At 44.0% G+C, this 13518-nt stretch overlaps 1 protein-coding gene across 4 annotated transcripts in view, besides 3 other annotated features; it reads right to left on the reverse strand.

Annotated features, from left to right (window-relative positions):
* Positions 1-13518, reverse strand: part of BIN3 (bridging integrator 3) — a 48704-nt gene that overhangs the window by 33737 nt on the left and 1449 nt on the right. The gene's annotated exons all lie outside the window — the stretch shown is intronic.
* Positions 3803-4397: an enhancer, noted in NCBI's record as "H3K27ac-H3K4me1 hESC enhancer chr8:22515470-22516064 (GRCh37/hg19 assembly coordinates)". NCBI's record gives its function as "activates a minimal SCP1, AML or CMV promoter by ChIP-STARR-seq in primed H9 embryonic stem cells {active_cell/tissue: H9 hESC(primed)}" and the evidence as "EXISTENCE:reporter gene assay evidence [ECO:0000049][PMID:30033119]".
* Positions 4398-4992: an enhancer, noted in NCBI's record as "H3K27ac-H3K4me1 hESC enhancer chr8:22516065-22516659 (GRCh37/hg19 assembly coordinates)". NCBI's record gives its function as "activates a minimal SCP1, AML or CMV promoter by ChIP-STARR-seq in primed H9 embryonic stem cells {active_cell/tissue: H9 hESC(primed)}" and the evidence as "EXISTENCE:reporter gene assay evidence [ECO:0000049][PMID:30033119]".
* Positions 4689-4738: an enhancer, noted in NCBI's record as "active region_27083". NCBI's record gives its function as "activates an Ori minimal core promoter by ATAC-STARR-seq in GM12878 lymphoblastoid cells {active_cell/tissue: GM12878}" and the evidence as "EXISTENCE:reporter gene assay evidence [ECO:0000049][PMID:35858748]".

Genomic DNA, 13518 nt, shown 5'->3' on the forward strand with positions numbered 1-13518 from the left:
AAGTCAGTTACCTCATGTAACTGCACCCTAATTCCCAAATTTTGTTGTTGATGTCTCTTCTATTCTCCCTGAACTATGGATTTATGCCTTAAAAAACTGCTTTACTGTGCTTTTTGTAGGATTTGTGAGGGAGATAAATTAGATGTATGTATTCAATCTGTCATCTTTACTCAGAATCTGGTTTATTTTTAAATAACATACCATAACATTCACCCTTTTAAAGTGTACAATTTGGGGTTTTTAGTATATTCCCAGAATTGTGCAAAAATCACTGCTATCTAATTTCAGAACATTTTCATCACACCAAAAAGAAACCCCACACCTATTAGCAAACAACTCCCCTCCTCCAGCCCTGGCAACCATTACTTTGCCTTCTTTATGGATTTGCCTTTTCTGGACATTGCACAGAAGTAGAATTATATTTGTATGTGGCCTTTTGTGTCAGCCTCCTTCACTTAGCAAAATGTTTTTGAAGGTCATCCATGTCATAGCATATATCAGTACTTCATCCTTTTATTTTTTTAATCACTGAATACTAGTTCAGTGTATGGATTTATATTTTGTTTATCCACTTATCATTTGATGGACAATTGGGTTGTTTTCCCTTTTTGGGTATTAATGAATGCTGTGACAAACATTTATGTTCAAGATTTTGTGTGGATATGTTACTTCTCTTGGGCATATATCTAGGAGCAAAACTGCTGGGTCATATGGTCACTCTATGTTTAACCTTTTGAGGATGTGCCAGACTGTTTTCCAAAGTAATTGTATCATTTTACATTCCCACCAGTGGTATATAAGGGTTCCAATTTCTCCACATCCTTGCCAACACTGTCTTTTTCATTTTAGCCATCCTAGTGGGTATGAGGTAGTATTTCTGATGTGCATTTCTCTAATGACTAATGACGTTAAGCGTCTTTTCATGTGTTCATTTGTATATCTTTGGAGAAACATCTATTCAAATCCTTTGCTCATTCTAAAACTTTTATTATTATTGTTGTTGAGTTGTAAGAGTTCTTTATATATTCTGGGTATTAGCCCATAATCAGAAATATTTTCTCTCATCCATGGGCTGGGTTTCCACTTTCTTAATGGTGTCCTTTGAAGCAGAAAGTTTTAAATTTTGATGAAGTCCAATTTATCTGTTTTTTCTTTTGTTGTTCATGCTTTTGGTGTCATATGTAAGAATCCTTTGACAAATCCAAGGTCATGAAGATTTACTCTTGTCTTTTCTTCTAAGAGTTTTATAGTTTAGCTCTTACATTTAGGTCATTGATCCATTTTGAGTTAATTTTTAAATATGGTGTGAGGTAGGGGTCCAACTTCATTCCTTGGCAAGTGGCTATCCATTTGTCCCAGCACTGTTTGTTGAAGATTATTCTTTTTCCGCTGAACTGTTCTGGCATCTTTGTTACAAATCAATTGTCCATATATGTAAGGGTTTATTTCAATTCTATTCCATTCATCTACATGTCCATCTTGATAACAGCACCACACAACCTTCATTACTGTAGCTTTGTAGTATTAAGACTGGGGAGTGTGAGTTCTCCAGCTTTGTTCTTTGTCAAGATCATTTTGACTATTGTGTGTCCCTTGCATTTCCACGTGAATTTTAGTGGTTTATTTTTTATATTTAAATCTTTGCTGCATTTAGAGTTTGAGTGTATGACTAGTCCATTGTTTTAACATAGTTTTTAAAAATTCCACCTTTGAAAAGTTATTTTATCAGCATTAAATGCATCTACTATTCCATACCACAGAGTAATCTACCCTTTTGCCAATAACACAGATTTATTTAGATGTATAAAAGTTCCTGATACTTAGCAAAGCAAATCCCTTCTCATTAAAAATTTTTTTCCAGGTAATTTCTTGGCTGTTTTAATTATTCAAGATAAATTTCACTAGCTGTGTGCTCTCACCCCCACACCTAAAAACCCCTGATAAGGATATTACCAGAAGTGCAATATATTTATAGATTAACTTTTGAAGATCCTATTTTTGGTTTGCTCATTCAGGGCCATATTTCTTTTCATTCATTCAAGCCTTTTTATCTCCCTTGGTCTTAAGGGTTTTTTTTTTTTTTTTCATATCCATCTCCTCTACATTTATTTCGTTAAATATTAAGATCCCAAAATAACACATGTGAAGTTTTAGCTCTATACATGTCTTAGGTTCATTCCATGAAGTTTTATATTTTTGGTTATACTGTAAATGGGATTCTCTGTTTCATTTTATCTTCCTGGCACATTTACTCTGAAACCAGTCACCATGTCTACATACTTCATTTATATAGCCTAAGAAATTCAACTGGAAAAGAAGAAAAATAACTAATTAGGCTTTCCAGGTAGACAGTCTTAGGGTATGAAAATATGATAAAATTCATCTTTTTCCCCAACATTTACACCTATTTATTGCCTTATGTTATTGCATTAGCTTGAAGTTATAGAAAATGTTTCCGACTTTGGTAAGAATGCTTTACATCTGATCCCTCACTATCAAATATGAAAGCAGCTATTCTTGATTTCAGCCAGGAACGTTCCTAACAGTAAGAAAATATCTTTCTGTTCCTAGTTCACTAAAAGGTACAAATATTAGGTTTTTGAATTCCACCAATGCCTTTCACCATGCATTTAGATGACCAGTTTGTTCTCCTATAACCTATTATTGTGTTGAACGGTGTAAACATATTTCCTAATATTGAGCCATCCTTTCATTACTTAAGTAAACTCTGCTTGGTAAAGGGTACAGGCTAATTAACTCTGATGTGTGAATGTCCTGCTTTCTGATTATGACACACAGCACCTCAAGGGCAAGGACTGAATGTCATGCTTCTTGGCAACCCCTGTTAAGTACTGTACTAGGCACAGTGCTATTTTCAACTTTTCACTGAATGAGGACACATTTGTTAAGGGCCACCTTTGTTCCAAATACTATGCTAGGTTCTAGGGATATCAGGATGAACGAGGCAGATTCCTTCTATGATCTCATGCAGCTTATAGTCTAGTTCTGTGCACATAGTAAGCACCGGATGAATAATTAAATGAATGACTAAAATAAGCGCATTGCCCAAGGGGCCTGTAAAATAACATGCTCTGACTTAAGGTTCCTGAAGAAAGCTACTCTTAGGTAATGCTACATAAAGAACAAAGAAAGGTAGTATCATTGTCTTTGGGCTCCCAATCCTTGTGTAACCAAAAAACAAAACAAAACACAAACAAAAAACCCCAAAAACCTAAAAAGAATACCCACCAGCGCTGGGGTCCAGCAACAGTACATTCAGTGGAGACCAAGAAAATGGAGTGGGCCCTTGGCCTTGAAAGCAAAGCCTGACGAAGTTATTGGAGTACGATGGGTCAAGGGAAAATACTTTACAGAGCCCAAGAGGATATATGAAAGGAGAAGAGGCTGCTGGGTTTATTCCGAGGCTGCCAAATGGCAGAAGTGAACCCACTCTGCCAGAGAAGTCGGCAAAAAACTGGGCAGATGCCCTGATGTAAAGATCAGATTCTCCCTGCGATGAAATGGAGTATTCCTGCAGGAAGTGGTGAAAGGTGGCAAGGAAGGGAGAGTGAGAGGAAAGGCAACACAACTGCACTTCAGCAGGCTCTTGTACCTCTTCTTCCCTTGAGTCCCCATTTCATCCCCGTGGGTCTCCCACTGCAGGCACAGGGGACTTCCTTAGGAGAAGCAGCTGCTTTGGAGGGCATGGGGCAACAGCGACAGTGTCACAGCCTGAGAGCAGCAGCCTTGGTACTGCCAGGTCACAGCAGCCCGGGGTTGGCAGTGCTCCAGGGCAGGAGGCCCAACTGGGCTTCGGGACTCTCCTCCCTCCTCCTCACACTTGCCTCAGTGCTCCCCTTGGAATCAGGGGCGTGGGCAGAGAGCCAGAGTGAAGACAAGGCTTGCTCCCCAGAGCGTCTCTGAGTTCTGGAAGAAATTAAGAGGGTTCTGCGCTCTCTGCCTCTGGAGTAGGAGTCCTTGATTGGTTCTGCTTCCCATTCCATAAATATGAGCACCAGAGGGCAGGAGAAGAGATATTTTAGTCTCAGCAACAAAATGGAGAAAACATTTCTTTCAACCCTCCTCTTCTCCAACCCCCAACTGCCCCACCGCAAAAAAGAAAAAAAGTTCTGTGTGTACGGAGGGCAAAGGGGGGAAAGATTCTATTTTCTTTCATAATAAAGAAAAAGTCAACAGGATGTTCTCCAAAGCTACAAATATACTTTTTCAAACAGTAAATATCTCTATTAGCAGCATGATGCCAGTTGGCTAATTCTGTCTGTCTCAGTAAAACCTTTCCAAAAAAGCCCCTGCTCTTGTGTAATGTCTATTTACAAAAACAGCTCTTTTGCATTTTCAATTTGCTAGGTTTCTCCATCTTTTGTTTCCTCACTCCCTCTGCAGAGGCAGAGATAAAAGGCAGGCCCAGATGGCAGTTGGGGAGGGATCCCCTGGTCACCCCAGAACCCTAAACCTGCTTCCTGGGTCTTTGCTTGGCCTCCAGAATCCTACTAAACATGGATAAGCCTAGGCCTGGCTTGGGGATGGAAAGAACCCTGGAGTGATTCAGTCTGCCCCACCCCTTATCTTTCTGCTATCTCTAGCTGGGCAAGAGACCCACAGTTTTGGGGGCGAGGGAGGTAAGGGAGGTGAGAATGGAGGGAGGGCTGAGCAAAGAGTAGGCGGTGGTGGTTGATAGTGGCTGAAATCCTGGCTCCCCGGTGAGTGGTCTGGGCCTGAGTCACTGTCTCGGCAAGAGCAGGAAGGTGGGCGAGAGGCAGCAGCTCCAGCAGGCTGGAAGGACAAGCCCCTCCCCCGGGGCCTTCTGTTACTCTATCCTTGGGTTGCTGCCTGCTCTGGCCTGAGGCCCCACAAGGCCACCACCACCTTAACGGTGGGAGAGAAACAACAGAGAGCCAGAGCCGGGGCAGGGCTTATCGAGAGCCATCTAGGTCCGGCAGAACAGCTGCTGGTTGGATGCCATCCTCTGTGTCGGGCCAGCTGGCCACAATGCCAAAGGCCAAGGAAAGTTCAGCCTGAGCAAGGCGGAGACCCCAGGAAAGAGGGACATGAACTGAGCTGGAAATCAGTCCTTTCCAGTGCCTATGACCACAGCCTCCAGCCCCACCTCAGTCCTTTCTCTAAATTAGCTTGATCCAAAACCAGAACACACAGAAATTGACCCCGACCCGCCAACAGTCCGAGGAGGTATGTGTGTGTTTAAAAATAAAAGGGATGACTGTGACTTGGCGGTTTGTGACTTGGACCAGAACAATCTTCCAGCTCAGCTGTGATCCCTCCTTCCCCACCGCTCCACAGGCTGACCTCTGAAAAGTAAAGACAGAATGAAGCACACAACGTTAAGTCACACGAGAGCTGGGCGATCATCTCATCAAAGCAACCACTTATTGAGCATCTACTATTGCCAGACTCTGCACAGGCACTGCTGATACATCCGTTTATTTGAAGTGTCCACTCCTGCACTTCACAGGAGAAACAGCGCAGTAGATCAGGGGATGGGCCCTGGAGCCAGACAGCTGGGGTTCAAAACCTCACTCTGCCTATTACCAGCTGTGAGACTCTGGGCAAGTGACCTCACCTTCCTGTGTCTCCGTCTCTTTATCTATAAAATAGGATGGAAAATAATTTACTCATCTTCTAGGGTCGCTATGAAGGTTAAACGAGTTTAATGCTTAAAACAGATCTTGACACACAGTAAGCAGTCTGTTTTTTTGCGAAGGTAGTAGTGGTATTTTGATGACGACGACCAACCAGGTCCAGAAGGGGTGACTTGTAAGAAGTTACAGAGATTAAGTATACTCACCCCCCAAGAATGGTTAGGAAACCTGAAATTATTTTTTTGTTTTGGGGGCAAACAGCTGTCCCATACCGTGATGCACCACCACCAGGCCCAAGTGATAAGTCTGCCTAAATTTGAGTGGCAACTTCCCCCCAAATAGTGAAAGGATTTTGACAAAAGTGTGGAGGCCGACAGAGCACCTAAGAGAGGAAGGCAGGCAACTCAAGGAGGCAAGTTTGGATTTTCTTTGCAGCCCCTTAAGAAGATCCTAATATCTGACAGACAAGTAATCACCGATTCTCATTCTAGTCTGTAAGGTAAGAAGGGGTAGAAAATGGGTTTGCATTTGGAGGTGAAAGGCTTGTCCTGCGGACTCCGCAAGGAGAGCACCTCTACTGGCCTCATCTCCATTCCGATGGGCTGACAGTGGCTTAGACTCTGAGAGCACCAGACCGGCTGTTTAGCTTCTGAGGTACCATCTTTAATCTCACCTTTGCTCCTGTCTCTTACCAATCAGCAATTATAAAGAGCTCTCACACTACCTTTTTCCTCTTCTCTGCTGAAAGTTTGGCCCCTAGAAAGCAAGAGGTAGAAGGAAGATGGCTGGATGGAAACTGACTTCTAGGCCCCCTCCCTACATCGTCCCCATCCCGTGGGGCAGGGGCGGGGGGCGCGGGCAAACGTTCTCTTGCTATGGAAAGTGAGGTCTGCCCCAGCAATGGTTTAAAAATTAAAAAAATATGAAATATTGTAAATACACAAAAAATACAGGGAATATATAATAAATACTCATGTATCCACCACTTGGCTTTGTCAAATTCTAACGAAGCCATGCTTGCTTTAGATATTATTATTTAAGCAACAAAACAGTACAGATGCTGTTCAGGCTCCCTGAGTATCGCACCCTGAGATTGTATTTCTTTCTTTTCTTTTTTAACTTAGTTTTTTTGAGACAGGGTTTCCCTCTGTATCCAGGCTGAGGTGCAGTGGTGTGATCATAGCTCGCCGCAACCTTGAATTCCTGGGCTCCAGCAGTCCACCTGCCTCAGCCTGCTGAGTGCTGGGACTACAGGCTTGCACCACTACCCCTGGCTAATTTTTAATTTTCTTTTTGTAGAGACAGTCTCACTACGCTCCCCAGGTTAGTCTCCATCTCCTGGACTCAAGCGATCCTCCCGCCTTGGCCTCCCAAAGTGCTGGGATTATAGGCATGAGCCACCTCGACTGGCCCCTGAGATTCCATTTCCTTCTCTCCTTGTTATCCTAGAGTAACCACTATTCTAAATTTAGTACTATTCCCATACTTTTACTGTATAAGTTTAAGTCCATATGCAAAATATAGTATTGCCTTATAGGTCTAATGTTTACATAAATAGTACAATGTTGAATGTATCATTCTTTTTTTTTTTTTTTTTTTTTTTGAGATGGAGTCTCGCTCTATCACCCAGGCTGGAATGCAGTGGCATGATCTTGGCTCACTGCAACCTCCGCCTCCTGGGCTGAAGTGATTCTCCTGCCTCAGCCTCCCTAGTAGCTTGGATTACAGGCGTGCACCACCACGCCTGGCTAATCTTTGTATTTTTAGTAGAGATGGGGTTTCACCATGTTGGCCAGGCTGGTCTTGAACTCCTGACCTCAAGTGATCTGCTTGCCTTGACCTCCCAGAGTGTTGGGATTACAGGTGTCAGCCACCGTGCCCAGCCTACAATGTTGAGTGTATCACTCTTATTTATTTGAATGTATCATTCTGAAGCTAGCTTTTTACATTCAGCATTACATTCTTGAGATTTGCCCACACTGGTACATACAGCTCTATTTTACCCATTTTAACTACTACATATATATACATTTTTTTTGAGACAGTCTCACTTTGTTGCCCAGGCTGGAGTGCAGTGGCATGATCTCAGCTCACTGCAATCTCCACCTCCCAGGTTCAAACGATTCTCCTGCCTCAGCCTCTTGAGTAGCGGGGATTACAGGTATGCACCACCACCATGCCCGGCTAATTTTTGTATTTTTTAGTAGAGACGGGGTTTCACCATGTTGGTGAGGCTGGTCTTGAACTCCTGACCTCAACTGATCTGCCCGCCTCTGCCTCCCAAAGCGCTGGGATTACAGGCGTGAGCCAACACGCCCGGCCCATAACATATCATCATGTAAAGACATCACAATTTATTTCCCCATTCTCCAGAGGCTGGGCATCTGCACATGACGATGCCCCTCACACTCCTGGCATGTGTCCCCTGCTGCATGGAGGTATGGGAGTTTCTCTAGGGTAGGGGACAGCCACTGTTCCAACTCCAAAATCTCCAATATACACCCCCTCCTGCAGTGTATGTGAATTCCTACTATTCCTCACCCTCAGATACTTGGCATTGTCAGGCTTTAAAATTTCTGCCAGTCTGATGGCTGTGAAACAGCATCTCATTGTTGGTTTAATCTGTTTTTCCTGATTACTAATAGGACCAAACATCTTTACATGAGCTTTTGTTCACTTGGGTTTTCTTTTCTGGAAAGCAATTGACAGTTTTCAAATCTATGGAATAAGTTCTTATAAAGAACTCAGCCAGTGTTCTTTACAGCTGCCCCTTCTGTTATTTTTTATTAACCCAGTGAAACAACCAAATACACAAGTAACCCTATCTTCAGTTGCTGGAGTCAAAGGTGTTAGCTTATCGTCTGAGTATTTGTAATGATACTCTTAGACAGATGGTTTTCAAACTTGAGGTCTTTGCAGAACATCTATCACTCAAAGGTCATTTAAACTGCTACACAGTCTTCCATTATATACATAGATCAAAATCAGTCATGAAATTAAAAAATCATATGCACTCACCTCAGGAAGAAAAAAAGAAAAAAAAAGTCAACTGAGGTGGGTCATTCTTTAAAAAAACAAACAAGGCTGGCCGCGGTGGCTCATGCTTGTAATCCCAGCACTTTGGGAGGCCAAGACGGGTGGATTACTTGAATCCAGAGGTTAGAAACCAGCCTGGCTAACATAGCGAAACTCAGTCTCTACTAAAAAATGGTGGTGCATGCCTGTAATCCCAGCTATCTGGGAGGCTGAGGCACGAGAATCGCTTCAACCCGGGAAGTAGAGGTTGCAGTGAGCTGAGATGGCACCACTGCACTCCAGCCTGGGCAACAGGGCAAGAGCCTGTCTCAAAAAACGAAAAACCATGAACAAGAACATAATAGAAAATATCAGAGTGCATTGCACACATACTGTGTCAAACTTTTATTTCAAGTATAAGTGTGTGTGTGTGTGTGTGTGTGAGTTGTGATATCAAAGGTATTTCTAACTGTGAGTTGTGTTCAAAAAATTGTGGAAACTAGTCCAGGTGTGGTGGCTAACACTTATAGTCCCAGCCACTCAGGAGGCTAAGGCAGAAGGATTGCCTGGGCCCAGGAGTTTGAGACTGTGGTGAGCTGTAATTGCACTACTGCACTCCAGCCTGGGCAACAGTGAGACCCCCCGATTTGTTTAAAAAAAAAAAAAAAAAAAAAAGGAAACTATTGTCCAAGTTAGCATCCTTGGCTCCATTTTTTCTCTTCTGAGTTATCCTGCAGGCCACTGCCAAAATAATCTGACTAAATCATTGCTTTGGCCATGCCACTTCCCTGCTCAAAAGCCTTCAATTTCCAAAAGCCTAGGCTCAATTTCAAGTCCTCAGCATGGCACTGAAAGCACTATATAACGTGGCCCTGAGGTGGAGTGCCAATTCTCCCCAATGCAGCCTCTACCCAAACCACTACTTACCACCTCCAAGCTGGCCTCCTGACAGTCCGCACAAACACTCTTGACGCATTCTGACTCCACACACCTTTTTCATGCCATGCTTCTTACCTGGATCCTTCTCTCCCTCCCACTGAAACAGCACGTATTTGCTAAGTCAAGGTTCAGTTAAAATTACATCTGCTTCAAGTCTTTCTTGATGATGCCATACTGACATTTAGTGATCGGCTGTCCTTTTGAATCCCTAGCACTTTCCATACACCGGCTGAAGATAGAGATCGACTCATGCAAGTCTTTTAAATGTTCCTCAACATTTAGCACAGACTTTTGCACATTATAAATGTTGAACAAGCATTAAATCAACAAATATTTGTTGAGCACCATGTATGTGCATCACACTATACTGGGCCCTATTTGATGGATTAGCCACCAAAATCATGAGTTTGGGAAAACAATTCTAATAGGTTTAACAGCTGACTCTAAAGCTTACTCCGACAGATTTCCTTAAAGAGTATAATACATATAACACCTCTGACTAAGTAGCTGTGGGACTCAAGACACTTGACTCTTTCTGACTGCTCCAAGATCTGGAAGAAATCCTTCTCCTCTCATTAAACGCCTGAAATAAGAGCAAGCTCACATACAGAATCTCACAGACATTTTATAGGGCCCCTGTCTTCAAGGCATTACTATGCTCTCCACAGAGGAAGAAAAGCTTGGTGTGTCCAAAGTCACAGAGGACATGAGTGATGAGGCTGCCTTAGGCAGGGGCCCCATAGGTGGAAGAAGCTGAGCCAGTTACAGAACACCTAGAGGTCTGCAGGACACAAGGACTTCCTCTATCACTTATGTGTGAAGACTGTCAACTCCCTGTGATTCACTACCAACCTGCTAGTGTCAACACACCTTAGCAAAGTGAAACTCCGTGATCCAATCAGCTTGGGAATGGTCTGCTACTCTTCTAATATTCCTGATCATGGGGACAGAATACTCAGGAGACACATTTTAGTTCTAGTTCTTCCAGGTACTAGCTGAGTGAATTCTAGTAAGTTACCAAGGGGGATCATAAGACTGCACTGCTTGCGCAGACATAAGCATGAAGTCAGACAAAGGACGGGAAAGCCATCTGAAAAGTTAGAAGCACTCTACACATGTGAGACAGCAACGGTAATCATAGGGGAAAGGACTTCACTGAGAAAAAAACTGAATAATGGTTTTGTTTGACCCAGAAGTTTACCTTCTTTATATTCCATTCATTTAACAATTACCTGTTAGATACCCACTATGTGCATGATACCCACTATGCGTACAAAAAGATGAAGAAGCTCTATGTCGCTCCTGTTCTCATGGGGTTGGTGTGGAAGGGAGGTGTACGTCTGTGATACTCAGAAGGATGCAGAAGTGCTACAGGAGAAGCACTATGGAAGTACAGAAGAAACCCAGCAAAGCACTTTGGAGTGGAGGATCAGAAGGAGTGGGGAGGAGAAATCACAGGCAGCCTGACCTGGAAGCCACTTGTGTCGGTCAATTTAACAATAGTACTTTCAGAGGCTCTTCATTTTAGGAAGTGGTTTGTAGGTTCTGCAAGTTTTTATCTTAACATTTTTCCTGAGCTGAGGCAAGTCAGGAAAAGGGAAAAAAGGCCCCATTCATATATTTAATAAACACTTCCTGACTGCCAGGAACAGTGCTAGGGAATAGCAATGACCACAAGACAGTCCCCATACTCAAGAACTCACAGACAAGTAAACCAGCCAGCGGAGTACAGATGCTGATGAAGGTCAGAAGAGCGGCACCCAGTGCAGCATGGCAGGGTGTGAGGGGCCACTCAGGGAAGACCCTCAGAGAAGGTGAAGCGTGGCCTGACTCTTGAAGGATGAGTAGATGCTGGCCTAGTGGACAGGGTGTGAGTGAAGGGGAAACATTTCAGGCAGAAGGGACAGTTATCCAGAGGCACATGGGCACGAGAGAGCAGGAGAAGCTTGGAGGATGGAACACACGGAGTGAAGATGGACAGCCAGGCCCAGAGGGCCTCAGAAGCCCTGGCCCAGAGTTGGGCCTCTATCCTGAAGATGATGGCAAGGGACTACAGGGTGAAAACAGGAAAGAAACAAAAAGGATCAAACATGAGGAACACCAAAGTGTGAAGGGCAGACAGAGGTAGAAGACCCCGGAAGAGTCAGAAAAATATCACTCCACTCATTTCACAGCAGGCTCAGGTGGCAAATTGTCAGCAGGAATGGCCACTCCATGCTACAGATGGAGAAACTAAGACAGAGAACAGCTCAATGCTTGACCAGGCCGCACTGTGAGTGGCTGAGCCAGAACCTGAACGCAGCACTCTAACTCCTACTCACACTTACCTGCTCTGCCTCTAATTTCCTTCCTTTTTGTCAAACTACTGGACCCCTAGGTATAGGGAGATTTCTTCCAGTACTCCCTTTTCCTCCTCGTTTAAGCCTAAAATCATCAAGGTGTATGGTTCAACAGGAGGCTACAATTCCTGGAGCCAGCTTAGATTGAGGTCACTATTCTTAATTCTACTTAATCCTCTCTCCATACCATAATAAAGCCACCTGAGTATACACTGGAAGATGGGGAAGAGAGACAGGAAGGGGAAAAGGGAGACAAGAGGGAGACAGAAATAGGGAGGGAGGGGGTGAGTGGGGAGGAGAGGAGAGAAAGTTGGGAGGGGGGCAAATGGCGGGGGGAGGTGGGGTGGACAATGGGAGAGAAAAAGAGAGCGAGAGAGAGAGAAGCATTTGGCTTGAGGCCAAGAAGTGAATCTGTGATCTGAGATGTGAATATCAAATGCCTTCTTCCTAGTAGGACAGACCACCGGGTCACTTTTCTGAAAGGCAGATGGGTGTATGGGGAGTGGATGGGTAGATGGTGCAGGAAGGCAGCAGGTACCCACTAAACAAACAGGGGGTGGGCGGGTTGCCTGCACAGAGGAAGCAGAGAACAAAGGCCTCTCACTCTTCATGCAAAGTCCACAGTGTGCAAAGGGCATCAATATTGGACATTTCTCACTGTGACATTTTGAAAGCTCAGCCTAGCCCAGAACAATGGTTACCCTCTGGGGACCATGGGCCATGTGCCTTATTTAATGATGGCTTGGCACAGCCCATGTACTTGGTGAACTTGACCTTGGGCATCAGCCTCCCATGATGGCTCTACGTCACTCTGGTCTCTTCCCCTAATGAGAATTCCAGTCTCACATGAATGGATGGATTCATTCTGGGGGCAGGAAAACCACTCAGGGAGTGAATCAGAAGGACCCAGCCCCGGTCTCCTTGCCAGCCATTGAGCTAGGAACTGAGTGTGATTGTGTGCCCAGGCGCCGGTGCTGTTCCCGTCTTTGAGAGACAGGGTCAGGGTCCACGCAAGAGATGACGTAGAAGCCCTTTAAGGGGGAAGAGAAAGGAATCTCAGCTTTGAGGGACAAAGCCACCCTTCTGGCTGTGACTCTCAGTCCAAGGAGATACCAAGATGTGCATGTACTGGTAAATTAAAGCTACTAGATGAAAATCTCAGCTCTTGTTAGACAGTTGTCAATCTCAATTCTCTCCAACCTGACAGGATAACCTTTAAGGAATGGGCTACTATTTTTTCAGAAGGGAAACTTTCTGTGAGACAGGTGGAAACAACCTGCTTCGGATCACCCAGAGAATCATTTACCTTTATTAGTTTCTGCTGTGCTCTTCTCCCAACTTGTGAAGGAAAGATTGGTTCAGTAAAGGCCAATCTAGGCAATATAAAGCATCTGTACTGCCTCATTTTCACTTTGAAAAATTAGGTAAGAACACTCCAAAGATTCAAGACGCAGCAGCCAAAAGGATATCTATATTGCAAGACTGGGGGGCCCAGAATGACACTGAAAGGACGTAATTCCTCTGGGAAAGGGAACTGAAGAATTGCCGCTTTGCCCACCACTAACTAGGTTATAACAAGACAGGGAAGGTAGCTTTTTAAGGCTCCA

This window comes from Homo sapiens, chromosome 8 (assembly GCF_000001405.40).
Source record: "Homo sapiens chromosome 8, GRCh38.p14 Primary Assembly".
In the NCBI taxonomy this organism is placed as follows: domain Eukaryota; kingdom Metazoa; phylum Chordata; class Mammalia; order Primates; family Hominidae; genus Homo; species Homo sapiens.